Genomic DNA, 16,296 nt, shown 5'->3' on the forward strand with positions numbered 1-16,296 from the left:
CCATAGTCTATTCCTCTTAGTTTGGCACTTTGTATATATCAATAATTCAGTTATTTATTTAATCTAATATGTGTTGGTAGCGTATCAGTGCTAAATACTGTGCTGGTGCTAATGTTACAATCAAGGCCAAGGCCGACATGATGTTTCTGTCAAAATCGCAACCTCTTGAGGGCGAGGGTCGTCTCTTAACATTCCTTTGTGTCTCTCTCACTGCCTAGCACAGTGGTAGAAACATTAAAGGTCGTCAATAAATACTCGGTGAATGAGTAACTGAGTGCAAAGACTAATCACTGTATTGATCATGAGATTGATTACCCAATGTGGGCTTTTACCCCCTTGCTCTCAACGTTCTGGGTGGACCTAGAGAAACGGATAAGTTCTCTGTGTTTCAGTCTCCTACTTAACAAAGTAGGCAGCAGAAGATCTTAGATAAGGCAGGAGGGCATCCTTCTGCTCTTCCATAAGGGCCTGGAGCACTCACCAATTCTTGGTGGACAGGCAGTGGCAATGGCCAGCCTCTATGTGTCTCTCTCCTGCTGCATGCATTCTGCATATACGTTTAAGTCCCCTTCCCTTCAATCTCCCTGGCAAATTGAGTTCCTTAAGGGCAAAGCTGTGTCTTATTGATGCCCATTCTTTTAGAACAGCCCCTAGCACATAGTAGGAGCTCAAGAAAAGTTTGTCGAAGAAAAGAGTGAATGGAAGTAGGCTATCTTCTTTCATTTTATTACCAGCTGATGCTGTTCACAAATCACTTCATTTCCTTTAGGTTACGGGCTGAAAACCAGTGATATTGACTTGACCTTTCCAAAGATGAGTGAGTAGGTGAAAGCCTGAAGTACTCTGAAAGGCAACTGCTGAGGAGCTGTGTCCTAGAGAAAGCCACCTTCCTGCATGAGGCTAAATAGAATAATCTATGTTTGGTATTAAAACCTCAACACCCCTGACGTCAAAGAAGGCCTGTGGGTTCGAGGGGACAGTAGAGACTCTGTTTCTGTAGCACTGTACAAATGACTGCCTGATGTTTTTGTTCCCACTTTTTTTTTCTTGGCCTCCTTTCCAGGAAATGGACCGGAGGAGCTGGCAATTGATTAAAAATAGGCTTCGTGTGAGGAAAACAAATACACATTTGGCAAAATTAAAGTCTCCAAGCCTCAGAATGCTTATTGCTAGCTATATTTAGGCCTTGAGTTTAGGTCTCTTTGGCTCTGGGTGGAAAAAGCCCCAGGTCAAGAAAAAACATTTTCCTCTATTGTGGGACCCTCGCCTCTTCAGTCTCAGCCTGGGTTTATGGCCTGGTGGGACTGTTTCCTCAGGAAAAGCTAAGGAAGTCCTTTTCTAGTGGCTTTGCCCTTGGAATCTTAGCACTACAGACTTGGGAAAGGGCTTTGAGAGATGTCCGGGGCTGGCTTCCAGGCACTAGGTAGGTGAAAGACATTTCTAGGCTTGAAGATCTTTAGTAGGACTGTTCCCATGACCCCTCTCAGTTGCCTAGTCCAATATTTTATTTTCCCCAGTGAAAAGGGAGTTCTTCTTTTTGTTCCTTTTCAACAAATATCACTCCCTTTTCATCGGCTCTTTACTCATGCCCAGCCCTGTGCTGGGGCCAGGGAAGTATAGATAAGATTAAGTCATGCTCCCTGCCCTTGGGGAGTGCATAGTTTAGCACAGCTCCTCATAAAATTCCTTGAAGACTCTTCTGGTATAACTTGCTTTAAGAAAGTAAGGAAGTCAATTTTTATGAAGTTCAGATTGACAGGAACATAGAATGGACTTGAGCCTCCACTTTCAAAAACAATTCACCTGAGGACTCAGCTAAATGGAATTTAAAGTAGGGTTTTGTGTATTCAAACCTTTTTCAGAAACACACTGTCACAGAGAGAAAGGTGTGTCTGCAAGGAATCACTTATCAACCCTCTCAGTGGGCCTCCTCTCTCCTTGAGATCTCAGGCCCAGTTCTGGCCAGCTCCCAGCACCACCCTAGGAGGCCATGAAATGGGAAAGGAGAGGAGAGCACCAAGGAAAATGGAGAAGGATGGCAGGAGGAGGGAGAGAAGAGGGAGGAGATAAAAACAAAGGGAAAGACAGATCGGGGAAGGAAGGATGAGGGGAGGCAAGAGGAAAGATAGTAAAATAACCCCAATTCCCCTAGGACCCGTGTTACATTTCTTTGATCATTTTTGTAAGGATGGGCTGAGGAAGTACAGTTATAGCCAGCTCTCCATCATTGCTGCTAAGGAGGGAAGTCCTTTACAAGTGATGGTTATTATTACAACATAAATAATTGAACTCCCCAGATAATCCCTAAACCTCATTTGAATCTGTAAATTTCTCTTCCTCCACTGCCAAACCTTTCAATGAAACAAGACTGGCACAAGCAAAGAAGGTAAAGAGCTGGTGTATGGTCTCTGCCTTCTCCTCCCTGACTCTAGTCTGGCAAGTCTTAATCCTTAAACCAGAGTAACTGACCCCAAAATACCGACAGTAGGGAATGTGAGTGATGAGGGGGCTGCATCCACTTGCTGCCTCTGAATCTAGCTCCATCCAGCCCCACTCTGCAGGTTCCTCCCCTTACTCCCTCCCTCCCGTGGCCCTCAGTTCGCCTTCACTAAGATTCTGAAGGAAATACGTGCATGACGAACATTGGTCGACATACCCTGCATGGAGAGGTGTTCACTCACTGTGCACATCACCTACTCACACATCCCTATTGATTCTACCTTCTAAATTGCTCTTAAAATGATTCCCCGCTTTGCATTGTCTCCAACTTGATCTAGGCTCCATTCTCTATGGCCTGCGCTCTTGCAATGGCCTCCTAGCTGCCTCCATTCCTCAACCACTCAATTCCATCTTCCATGCTGTACCCTTCAATGGCCCCCAGTTGCCTACAGGGTCAAGTCTGAAGTCATTCCTATGGCCAATGAGCTCTCTATCATCTGATCTCTGGCTACACCTCTGTCTTACCTCCTACCACACCTTCTGTAACTACCTCCACCCACTACCTCTTCACAACTACCAGGAATATCCTTCCCACCTCTGTCTTCTTTTGGTTTGTCTCCTGATTCCCTACTTATTCTGTAAGTCTCAGCTCCCATATCACCTACTCTTTGACACTTTTCCCTCCCGGCAAACTCTGACTTTCATTCATTGGGCCTCCAGAATCCCCACCACATCCACTGATCCCCACTGCACTTATCACATTATATTGCAATCGATTGTTCACATGTCCATCCTCTTTACTAGTCTACGAGCTCTTCAGTGGCAATCTCTGTATTCCTAGCGCCCAAATATATTTTGAAAGAAAGAATAAAGGATGTTTTAGCAATTTGGAGTGCACAGAGCCAGAGTGGCTGTAGCAGAACCAGCACCAAAACTGCTCCTGCCTCAGAACCTTTGCACTTGCTATTCCCTCTGCTTGAAGCACTCTTTCTCCAGGTATCTACCTGGGTTGCCCACCCACCCCCAACTACTTTCAGGTCTGCACAAATGTCACCTGCTCAAAGAGGCCTTCCCTGGCTACTCTATCTAACATACAGTGTGCGTGCATGTGCACGTGCACGCACACACACACACACACACACCCCTCATCACTATCTACCTCTCCTGCTTCATTTTTCTTCAGAGCTCTGATCACCACCTGGCATTATATTATATATTTCTGTATTTGTTGACTGTCTCCCCTACTAGAATATAAGCTCCACAGGGGAAAGGACTTCTGTTTTGTTGGCTGCTGAACCTTCAGTGTCTAGAACAGAGCCAGGCACCGAGAAGGTACTCAGTAACTATTTATTGAACATTGTTAAACTTGGATATAGACAGAGCTGAGTTTGAATCCTATACATATTATTTTCAAGTTCTGTGTAACCTTGGGCTAGTTGTCTGTTTCCTTTGAACTTCACTCTCCTCATCTATAAAATGAGGATTACTCTGCATACATCATAAGTAAGAATTAAATGAGATCAAGTATGTGAAAGTACCTAGCATGATGCCTGGCACAGAGAAGGCAAGTAATGTCTGTTAGCCAAAATCTGTTAACAGATCAATGTCTTCCACTTCCCTAATTCCCACAATGCACCCTTCCTTAACCTCAGCCCTTCTAGTGTCCGTTGTGGTCAGACCATTATTCCTGTGTCTGGGCCTCAACACTTACTTGCCACAGTTGTAGAGGTCACAGCAGAAGCAGGTGTTGCCCCGGATGCGAGGTGTGCAGAATTCACGGCTGAGGTGAGGGCAGTTAACCTGACGGTATATAACAGTGAGGAGATGAGCTGGCATTGGATAGGAAGCAGGACCCTCTGGGATTGGAAATGCGAGTTAGTGACTGATGGAGACAGTAAGGATGGCTTTGAAATGAACACCCAATGTGTGGGAAGGATGGGGCTGGATGGGGAGCTGGCCGAACTTGTGCATGAGGCAAGTCACTGTGTAGCTGGGCTCATGTCCAGCCTCTGCCACAGCCCTCAGTGCCCCATCCCTGAATGGTGGAGATGGAGAGAAGGAAGGACAGATGGAAGGACAGACGGAAGAACAAATGGACTGAAGGAAATGAGAATATGAGGGCAGGCAAAATCAGGGTACAGGAGGAAAGAAGATAAGGTGGGAAGGAAGACAGAGGAGCCGGCGCATGCACTCTGAAGTACAATAGTACCTCTCTAGCTGCCTGGGTAAGGTTCCTCATAACCCTCGTGGAAGGAGAATTTTTGGTTGAGGAACTTATGACCTTATGTAGGAAAAATAGGGTTAGGGGGACCAGGGTTACAAGTGAACCTATGGAAGTCATTATTAATATTTTTACAGTCACCAAATTAACGCAAGAAAGCTATCACAACAAAATCTAGAGAACAGCAATGACATTTTACACATTTTGAGTTAGCAAAAAGGTTTTAAAAACGGAAAAGAATTTCATTTACCATCTCTTGTTAGCAAGAAATTGTCCAGCTCTCTCCCCCATCCAGATGCAATGAAGTGCTGCTAAATTTGTCTTGCTTTGTTATAGAGAATATTCATAGCAAATGGGCATTTTTTTCTATATTGGGTCCTTCATCCAAATGCTTACTGCCTTTCAGATAAGCTGTTATCATATATGCATTTCTATTCCTCCTATCTAACCTGAGAACAGTGAGAGAAATAGTAAATTTATGGTTGTTAAAAGAAAAAGGAGTCAAGTGGATGGCAGAGACATAATCAAAGTATTTGCCATGGTGCCTTTGGAGCAGGACTGCTTTGCCTTACTCCAAGGGCACCCATTCACATTGTATTTTATGTAAAATGGCTTCCCCTGAAGCTGTGCAATGCAGTGGCCATTTTACATCCAATTGCCTTCCTTTTCTCTTCCCAACTGAAAGTTTACCATTTTTCTAACTATTTGGGAATGATTGACTTTCAATGTGAGGTTAATAGAGTACAAAATTGTCAAGATTCCTGGAAGCCTAGGTACAGTTTCATATGGAGAAATCCCTGGGTTGGGAAGGGATTATTGTATACTGAAATGAAAGCTCTCCAAAAATGACCTGGAGTCATACTTTGCCTCACTACGCATTGCATCTAGCTCTGCTTGAGGCAACATGGAACATAAGGAGAGCTGTTTGGGGCAGAAGAGAGACTCATCTGTGCATGCTCAAGCATTATTAGGCTGGCCTCTTGGAGGTGTTATGAGAGGGGCCAGGCTGACAGTCCCAGCCTCCCCAGAGCATAAAGGTGGATCTGGCTTCTCAGTTACCCTCATTTGGCTTCCAGACCCATCCTATGTGTGGAACTCAGGCTCTGCCTCCGTAGTTCAGGCCTAGTGCCCTGGTGGGGCTTCCACTTTTATTCCAACTGAGCACTGAGTTCAGGCAACTGAACCATCATCCACAGAGATGGGGGAGGGTCATGTCCTGTGGCCTCTGTACTCTCATTTGTCCCCCTGAGGATCAAAGCCACATATGGGGAGGCTCCCGGCTGGGGTCAGAGGGTCAGCCTGTGGCCACAGAACAAAGTAAAACTGATTAGGCCTCATGAGGCTCCAACCTATGACCATGGCCTCATTAGCAATGTGCTCTGACCCACTGAACAAATCAGCTATACATACCTAGAAATAAAACTTAGGCCCATGAAAAGGAGTAAAAGAAAGGGTGTTTCAGGCAGAACAGGGGACTTTCCCAGGAGGTAAAGACATGCAGCCTCATTCTGGCTCACCTCCTCAGCTTCCTTCTGTGATGTCTTGGGAACATAATGGCACCGGTTAGCGTAGAGTGGTTTCAGATCCTGAAAAGGGAAACACCAAAACAAAGGGGTTTTGACTTTGGAAAATAAAACAGCAAGTGTTGTACTTGGTAATAAAAGGTTTGAATACACACACACACACACACACACACACACAGAAGCAGGCAGGCAGTAGATTGGGTTAATTTCTGAAAGTCACCTGTCTAGGGAGACTGAGTGAAGATTAGACAAAAATACTTTAAAAATTACTTTCTATTAGACTACTTGGTTAATGAGAAATTATGAAACTGATTGAGAAATGGGCTTCTTGAAATTTCCTCTCTGGTTTTCTTTTACTTCTGGCCTTTGTCTTCTTGTAAACAGTCCTCAGGGAACAAGATGCAAAACTCCAGGTTATTATGAAATGACACTTTCAAGCAGAGAGAGCTCAAGTCCAACAATGAGGTTTCATTATCACCTGGGGACAGGACTATGGTTGGCTGACTTGTACCTCTTGCTGTCATTTCCGCATCATTTTCAGAAGGAAGAGCTCAGGAAGCAAGCCTCAGGAGGAGGGGCAGCTCCTGAGGCTGCTGTAGATTTTAACTCAATTGAACTGTGAGCCATTTTCACCCAACTGCATAGATTAGATAAAATCAGTGAACTCCAAAAACACTGTTCAAGTCTCAGAAAACTAACATGGGGCTCAAGGACAGTCGATTTACTCTGCTGGCTTGGCCAGCTTCCTGATGAGAGAGAGCTCTCATGCATGGGGGTTGGGGTAGAACCAATAGACACAAGCCAGGGCTGCCTGGAAGCTTGCAGGCAGGAGCTGCTGTTCACTTTCCGGACTGATGCTAAACCTCCCCTGAGTGGTAGGGGGCTTCTTCCAAAGGCACCTTAGGACAGGACAAACAACTTATGCAAATTGACCTTGGGGTTTGGCAGAAGTACCCAGGCAGAGGGAATTTATGTATTGTCTCCTTCCCTTCTGCCCCCACTTCTTTCACCATTTACGATCATCTCAGTGGCTGCTTTTCCCCACACATGTGATTTAGCGTCTTTTGTACTTGGCACTCAAATGCCTCCTGCCTTTTAGCCGGCCTCCCCATTAAGGTTCTAGGACTTTCCATCAGCTAGCTACTTCTACATGAAACTCCTGCCTGCTCAATGTTCTGAAAGTACCTTGCCCTGTTAGCTTAGCTTGGAGTCTAGCTGGAAAGGAATGAGGGTGTTCATGCTCACACCTGGAAGGGCTTATTGTCCATGTTTGGTGTTTGGGTAGTGGCAGAATAATTATCATAATTATCCTGCTGAAGAGGAGGCTTAATGTGCTGGTCACAGCCCTTCTCACCTCCTGGTTTTGCAAAAAGCATTCAGGCACCAAGTGCCCTACATGAAGACAGACGTGTGATAGTTGCCCATTTGCTGCCTCTGGCTGATACTCTTCATTGAGGCCCAGAAGAGTAACAAGAACAAGGCAATTGGGAGGCAAGAAAAGGTCACTCAGCCAGGGCTTGGCAACCTCTGTAATCTGAAGGGCTACCAACTATGGCATGAAGGGGTAGAAAAGGAAATTGTTTTATGTTGAGTGTCTGCTCTATGCCAGGCCCTCTTAGGGCATATCCATTCCCATTATTTAATTTCACGTTCATGCTAACCCTGAAAGGTAGGTTACTACTATATCCATTTAGAAGAAAAGAAAACTATGGTACAAGAAGGTAAAGTGATTTTCCAAGCTAGTTAATGGCTATACTAGGGAGAGGGGAAAGGAAAGAAATATGAGACAAAAGAGAAATGGCACAAGACACATAGAGAAGGGTGAGTGAGAAGGTGGTAGGTCTTGAGAGGAAGTTCAGATTCACCCAAGTCAAAGGAACAGGGAAAGATGATGTTAAAGGGCCTCAACAATAGGACAGCTGGCTCTCACCCATCCAAGCTGTGCTAGGGTCCAAATGTGCCTTTCATTTAAGTTGGCCAACAGATACCATCATAGATTAATAAAGCCTCCTTCCTCAAAGCTCTCTGGGTGTCAATGAGGACTAGCCAATGTCTTAGGGCAGGTATAGTATAAGCAGAAAGATTTTCTTAAATATTCATCCAGTCGTACCCCCAAATACTTGAGTCAAATGCTGTACTGCAGGTCACCAGCAGCAGGAGGTACAGAGGGCCTGGACTCAGAGGCAAGTAGTGGTCATTAGAGGAAACTTCCAGTAAATATAATTTGAATTTTTGCCCATTGCCTTTGACTGGAGCCAATGATCAAAAACATTGGAATGTCAGGAAAATGCAAATCAAAACCATAATGAGATACTGCTTCATACCCACTAGGATGGCTGGAATCAAAAAGTCAGATAATAATGAGAGTTGATGAGTATGTAGCAAAATCAAACCCATCAAACACTCTGGTGGGAATGTAAAATAGTGCAGCCACTTTGGAAAATACTCTGGCAGTTCCTCAAACAAATAAACATACTTACTATATGATCCAGCAGTTATACTCTTAGGTAGAAAGAAAATGAAAATGAAAATGAAAACATATATCCATGCATAAATTTGTACATAAATGTTTACAGTAGAATTATTCATAATAACCAAAAAGTGGAAACAACTCAAATGTACACCAACTAGTGAACGGACAAAGAAAATGTGGTATACCCATACAACGGAATGTTATTAGTCCATAAAACGGAATGAAGTACTTGATACAACATGAACGAATCTTGAAAACATTATACTAACTGAAAGAAACCAATCACAAGAGAATATATATATTATATTATTCTATTAATATGAAATGTCTAGAATAGGGATACCTTACACAAAGAAAGTATATTAGTGGTTGCTTGGGTCTGGGGAGAATGTGGGAATGTGGAGGTGAAAGCTAAAGGGTATGGGATTTCTTTTCAAGATGATGAAAATCTAAAATTGACTGTGGTGATGGTTGCACATAAATAACTGATACATACTAAATATATTAAAAATCATTGAATTATACACATTAAATGGGTGAATTGTATGGGATGTGAATTATATCTCAATAAAGCTATTAAACAACATTAGGAATGAGGGGAAGAGGGGAAAAAAGGAAGCCATTTTAGCTCATGCTGCCATCAAAATCTACTGCAGGCTTCTTAGCCACTAGGCCTATGTTGCCATGGAGACTGCCTCAGAGTGAATACTGTTTGTCAAATGGGGATAATAATGCCTGCCCTATATATATCACAGGATTACTGTGGGTTTCAAATGAGGTAATAGATGTGAAGTCACATTGAAAAGCTAAATGCACTACACAAAACAAGGAATTATTGTTATTAAGATGGCTTCTGTTGAATACAAAATAGTATGCATACTATGATTGACTGCAACTATGCTACAAAAATAGGTATATACTCAGCAGCTAATATGCAAAAACAATAAAAATTGTCAAGTTAGGGTGGTAGAATTATGGATGTTTAAAGTTACTGATGTGTCATTTGCTTTATAAGAAGAAAAAGATGATGAAAAAGATGGCTGATCTCAGCTAAAATCAGAAGGGATGGATCTGGTAGAGGGGCCTACATTTATATTCCTGGTCCTGAAAGAAAATCAGGCAAAGGGCCTTTCTCTGGCATTCCTTGTTTTTCTCCTTGCCCAGGAATTGTTTCTTCAGATGCCATTTCATAGACTATTTGGGTGACGGCATTGACCATAAGTCATGTGGCTTCTTGGTGCTCTCTCTCTACCCCGTTGCCCCCAATACTAGTTCTAAGCAATTCCCCTGATCCTTTGCCTTCTCAAATCTTACCCACGTGTCAAAGGCCTAGCTCCAGCCCTACCACCACTGAATGCCTTCTCTGACCTCTGGAATCCAAGATAAGCCACTATGGCACTTGGAGTTTGTTCCCCCAGCTTAGACCTCATTCTCTAGATGTCCGCGTGTCCATTGGTGTCTTCACCTTGACTGCCAACTCCTTGAGAAAAGGGACTGTGTCTTCTCCCTCTCATGTAACCCTCATGACACTAAGCAAAGGACTGAACATCGAGCACACATTCAGTGGGGCCTTGTTGTATTGCCTATTTACTTTAACTCAGGACGAAAAAATACTCACAATGTGTCTGGCAGCAAAGACCCCGTCAACTATGGCACAACAAAAAGCCGCAATCACACCAAAGCTGATAAACACGATAGAAGCCACCAGCTGTAGGGGGGAATAAAACAAAAGCGTCTGTTAGCCTTTCGCACTTGCTGCCTCTGGGGACCAGGCAATCCCCAAGAGACTTCCAGCCAAAGCAGAACTCTAGCCTACCACCCCATGGGAATGCTCTTTTTGGTCATGCAGGATGAGTGGAAGGGAGGTAGGCAGGGGAGGCAGAGAATGGGCAACTGAAGCAATTTTTACATTTTCAGGGAAAGCTAAGAAATTCACTCTGTGAGCACCAAATGAAGAGGAGGCTTGCTGGTATCTAGCATGCTGTCCATGAAGGAATTTGACTGCACGGCCCTTCCATCCTTGGACTCAGAAATAATGTTGGACTTTTGACATTAGGTAGTTCAATCCTCTATTTTATTTATGTAGAAATGGAGGCACAGTGAGGGGAAATGGTGTGCCCAGGGTCTCCATCTAGTCTGTGGAAAAGCCTGGTGCTCACCAACTCCTAATCCAGTGTTCTTTTTACCCCCTCACACTGCTACTTGATGCTATAGTGGGCACTGATGAAGGCAATGATGATTCCGGGGTCCTGCAAAACTTTACATGACCTTCTGCAACACTGAAGAAACAGGACATTCAACTTAAGACTTACATGTCAAGGACATTTTACAAAGGATTGAAGTCTCTGAATCAACGTTGTATGATACATATTTTTAAAATTTTTAAATTTTTTTAGAGACAGGTCTCCTATGTTGCCTAGAGTGGTCTCAAACTCCTGAGAACAGCAATCCTCCTGCCTCAGCCTCCCAAAGTGCTGGAATTACAAGTGTGAGCCACTATGCACAGCCAGTATGGTACATATAAAAACTTTCAAGTAAGACAAATGTTTGCTAGAACCAGGCTACCCTATTCTCTAATTGTGTTAGATAACAGAAATTTTCCTAATAATTTGTCTACTATTACAAAGATGCTACTACAACCAAATGTGGGGGAAAATAGGAATTTCAAGGCTTTTCCAGGGGCAGAGATAGATGCTACCTGAGCTGACCGCCTGCCTGTGTTGACCCTCAGAACTAGATGGAATCAGCACTTTTTTTCCCTGAGGTTTTTGGAAGAAAAGAGGGGGAGATCACATGGCATCAAGCTGCTCTCCAGGGAGAAGGAGAAAATCAAAATCAAGGCCACCCAGGGCGCAGTGGATCACGCCTGTAATCCCAGTACTTTGGGAGGCTGGGGCGGGTGGATCACTTGAGGTCAGGAGCTCAAGACCAGCCTGGCCAACATGGTAAAACCTCATCTCTACTAAAAATACAAAAAATTAGCCAGGCATGGTGATATGCACCTGTAATCCCAGCTACTCGGGAGGCTGAGGCAGGAGAGTGGCTTGAACCCGGGAGACAGAGGTTGCAGTGAGCCGAGATGGTGCCACTCCACTCCAGCCTGGGCGACAGAGCAAGACTCCATCTCGAAAAAAAAAAAATCAAGGCCACCCTAGGGTTCTCCCACCTCAACAGGCTAGGAGGAAATACTTATCTCCTTTGGGAGTTGTTCAGAAACCTCTCCCCATAATTCTCACTTTATAGTGTTACAGAGAATTGGTAAATAATGTATGAACAATGTCATGAAATTGACATTATTAGCTATGCTATGATCAGCTCTACAATTAAAATTCCCCCATTATTTTGAATAATTTAAGCCTAAAGTGCAAACACAACTGGCAAGGAGGCAGCCCAGGTGAAATGGAAGAAAAAAACTATTAGAACTCCCTTGAGGGTGATTCCCCATATCGCTGGGGGAAAACATATGGTTAGAGTTCTCTGTCCTTGGAGCTATTACGTTATCTGATTAAACTTGCTGTGAAATAGACCCCATTGTCAAAGTTTCAGTGCCACAGAGACTGTACAGGGGGAGCCCAATCACCATCTGACCACTCACCAGGCATCTTGATTTACAACTCTATAAAACTGCAATATGCTTGCAATTCAGTCTATATCTTCTACCTTTACCCTTGAGGGAGCCTTTTCAGATTGAACCAGGAAAGTATAACAGCTTGCCCTTGTGGGCCCCTGTTAAGACATAGAAGCTTCACCTTCTGTTATATGCTTGTCCTTCCTTTCAATCTTACAACATGCTTAGCTTTGAACTATGGGTAATGGAGATACTTTAGGATGGCTTTATAATTTTATTTTATCTTTTTTTGTGTGTGCCACAAGTACACTTGCTCATTAAATCAAAGTCTGCTATATTGTAATCTCCTAAAAGGCAGGAACTCTCTGTGAAAACTTGCCCAAAAGATTATGTATCAGAGAGAAAGATGTGACGGCCACCAATAATCCAGGGCTGTAGTAACAGAAATGTAAGCAAAAGCATTCTAGGTGAGGACCATAGCCTGATTGGATAGGTTGGAGCACTCCTTTGGGAGTAAGGAGGAAAGCAAAGGGCAAGATCCAGAATATTCTATCCCTTTGGCATAAGGAATCTAGCTAGGCCAGTGAGGGAGCATCAAGCAAGATGAGAACCAATCCCATATCACAGGGTCACAGTAAAACACATTCCCTAGAGGTTTAGGAGAAACGGCAAAGTAGCAGTTCCTTTTATGACCAAATCACACAAACTTAAGAAATGTGTTACTTATCCACATAAATGTTGTGCTTTTTTAGAGGAAGAACTTGACTCTATAAGGGATGAAAACTTACCATCTGCCTTTTGTTCTCAATAAGGTTTGATCCAATGATTCCAAGGAACGATCCAAAGCCGAGCTGCAAAGCAATATGGCATACATAGTATGTGGGATGACAGTCAGGCTGACCACACAATCATTCCAGCCCCTTCATATGATTCAGGATAAAAGAAAAAACTGGGCCGGGCGCGGTGGCTCACGCCTGTAATCCCAGCACTTTGGGAGGCCGAGGCGGGCGGATCACGAGGTCAGGAGATCGAGACCATCCCGGCTAAAACGGTGAAACCCCGTCTCTACTAAAAATACAAAAAATTAGCCGGGCGTAGTGGCGGGCGCCTGTAGTCCCAGCTACTTGGGAGGCTGAGGCAGGAGAATGGCGTGAACCCGGGAGGCGGAGCTTGCAGTGAGCCGAGATCCTGCCACTGCACTCCAGCCTGGGCGACAGAGCGAGACTCCGTCTCAAAAAAAAAAAAAAAAAGGTATTGGTGCTAAAGCCACATGCAGCTGTTACTTACACAAATACAGCATGTACAATAAAAGTATTTTTCCCACCATTTGCCAGTTTTCCCTTGTAGCTATGAATCATACCTAAGAAGAAACTTATGTGCCCAAAAACTAAAAGTAAAGGTCAACCATAGCTTTCAGAGCCTGCCTATTTCAATTGCAATATCTATTACCTAGCATGTGACTGGTGAGTCAGTAAGAGACATATAATGATGAAAAGCACACATTATATTTTTATTTTTATCTTTTTTTTGAAAAAGACCTTCCACTTTGATGTATAGATCACAAAATAAAGGTTTGCAAAAGCAATTTTGATGCATCTGGCATACCAATCCAACTCAGGAAGTACTTTAGAAATCAGGAAGCACCTTAACCCACACTAAAAAATTTTTTTAAAAATCTTTTTTTTTGAAAGCCTGTATTTGTGGTTGACCCACTGCAATTTATGTTAGCACTTATTCACCCCTTCTTCCATCCCTGCTTCATTTATGGACAGAAAGCATTCATTAAAGGGTGAACAGAAATGGCAGTGTAAAACCCTAAAAACAATTTTCCTGTCTAAGTGGCTGAGATTATGGCTTGGTATAACAGATCTCACTGCCCTCTCAGCTCTGCCATTAGAAGACTGAGTCTGCCAGTCTTAGATGAAAATGATCACTAACTGATAGCTGTTGATGGGGATGAAAGTGGAAGAAGTAAAAAGTGGTGAGAACGGACCAATAAATCTTAACACAAGTTCAGTGATGAAGTTACTTTTCTCTTTAGCCTCACTAATGGTCTGGGTTTCCATCTGCAGCCTTACTTTGGCTCACAGGGACATCTATTTCAATTTGAGACCCCCAAGCCTTGCACCTAGGTTTGGGAATCTAAGAGACCCAAGGGCTGGGCAGGAGCTTGGTAGGGCAGTGTAGGGGGACTGGGTGGCTGTCTCAGACCCCAAGAATGAGAGAATGAATGGAAGGAATGAATGTAAATCTCCAGGACTCCTTGTGCAGGGCCACTCAGACAGCAATGTCTCTTGGGAAACAGATGCTGCAGTGCATGAGGGTAATATCCAAGACTCTACTGAGAACATCCTCATTCAACAGTCAAGCAATGCCTGTCTCCCACCTGGTCTTATTTCAGATATAATTAAAATATGTTGCCATAAAATATACTGATTAAAACTTAGTTATCACACTAGCCTGGCTTCCAACCCCAGCTCTTCTATGTCTGTGTAACCTTGAACAAACTGGTTAAGCTCTCTAAACCTCAATTTTCTTATATTGTAAAAATAGGAACCACAGTAGTGACTACCTTATAGGGCTTTTGTGAGAATTAACCAGGATAATACATTCAAAGAACTTTGCACAGCACCTGGTACACAGTAAGTACTCAGTAAATATTACTTTTTTCTAGTGATTATTATTATTTTTACAGCCATTTAACTTTTGAGCCACTCTAACCTGACTTGAGCTGGAAAATCTTATAATTATGTGCTCTATTTTGTGCTAAGAGAATTTCCTTGTTCCATCTTGTCTCCCCCTCTGATGTTCCACGGCTTCTATTTTTTAGGAGAAAATCCATGAATAGTCTCTCCTTTTGGCACTCTGGGCCACTTGTTGAGTTGAGAGAAATTTGGAGGCAGCTTCTTACGGGAAAAATAAGTCCTTTTACTTAACAATTCATCAGCTTCCAAAGGTATTCGCAGAATGTCTCCTGAATCGTGATAGCAGTCTTTGTCCTAAGACAGGAAGCAAAGACACTCTCTATTCCTCATATTCTCTCATGGCAAATAACTCTCTGATGGCAGTGACCAGAAGAGGTGGGTGGAAGTCTTGTGGAATTGTCTGGAAAGACAAGGCACTCCAGAACTGGAAATCCCAGGCCAGCCAGTTACTTCATCCAGTTATCTCCCCTTCTCCTCTATTCTATTCTATTCTATTCTATTCTATTCTATTCTATTCTATTCTATTCTATTCCACTCCAATGCATTCAGTTTTCTGACGTTCACTACTAGCTTTATGTCAGATGAATAAGAAGACATGGCTACTGTCCTCCAAGAGCTCACGGTCTAGTAAGGGAGAGACAGACTGGGTTAAGGACCACAGACCAGGTAAAAACAAAGTGCTATAGGAGCAGGGAATAATTCACGCAGCCAGGAATATAATATATATATATTATATTATAATATAATATATATTATAATATAATATATATTATATTTAATATATATATTAAATATATTTAGGTAAATAAATTTAATATATATTAAATATATTATATTATATTATATTATATATTATATATATTAAATATATTATATATCATATATAATATATATGATATATAATATATATCATATATAATATATATGATATATAATATATATCATATATAATATATAATATATTATATATCATATATATTATATATGATATATATAATATTATATATATATTATATATAATATTATATATATAATATTATATATATATTATATATAATATATAATATTATATATATTATATATATATTATATATAATATATAATATTATATATATTATATATATATAATATATAATATATAATATAATATATATAATATTATATATATTATATTATATTATAATATATATAATATTATATATATTATATTATATTATAATATATAATATTATATATATTATATTATATTATAATATATATATTATATATAATATAATATATTCCTGGCTCTGCTACTTATAAACTCTGTGCCCTTGGCCCAATTCCTTAACCACTCTGTGCTTTGGTTTCATCATCTATAAAATGGG

At 41.9% G+C, this 16,296-nt stretch overlaps 1 protein-coding gene across 6 annotated transcripts in view; it reads right to left on the bottom strand.

Moving 5' to 3' along the window:
- Window positions 1–16,296, bottom strand: part of TMEM255A (transmembrane protein 255A) — a 60,029-nt gene that overhangs the window by 29,544 nt on the left and 14,189 nt on the right. For 3 of the 6 annotated variants that reach the window (XM_017029619.3, NM_017938.4, XM_047442231.1), the window contains exons 3-7: window positions 13,013–13,075; window positions 10,275–10,364; window positions 6,178–6,246; window positions 4,649–4,720; window positions 4,151–4,239 (exon numbers count right to left, since the gene is read on the bottom strand). In XM_017029619.3, coding sequence (XP_016885108.1) covers window positions 4,151–4,239; window positions 4,649–4,720; window positions 6,178–6,246; window positions 10,275–10,364; window positions 13,013–13,075 — 383 coding nt within the window. The remainder of the gene's footprint in view (window positions 1–4,150; window positions 4,240–4,648; window positions 4,721–6,177; window positions 6,247–10,274; window positions 10,365–13,012; window positions 13,076–16,296) is intronic. The other 3 variants (NM_001104544.3, XM_047442232.1, NM_001104545.2) reach the window with 2 other exon arrangements.

The sequence above is a fragment of the Homo sapiens genome, chromosome X, assembly GCF_000001405.40.
Source record: "Homo sapiens chromosome X, GRCh38.p14 Primary Assembly".
Taxonomy (NCBI): Eukaryota; Metazoa; Chordata; class Mammalia; order Primates; family Hominidae; genus Homo; species Homo sapiens.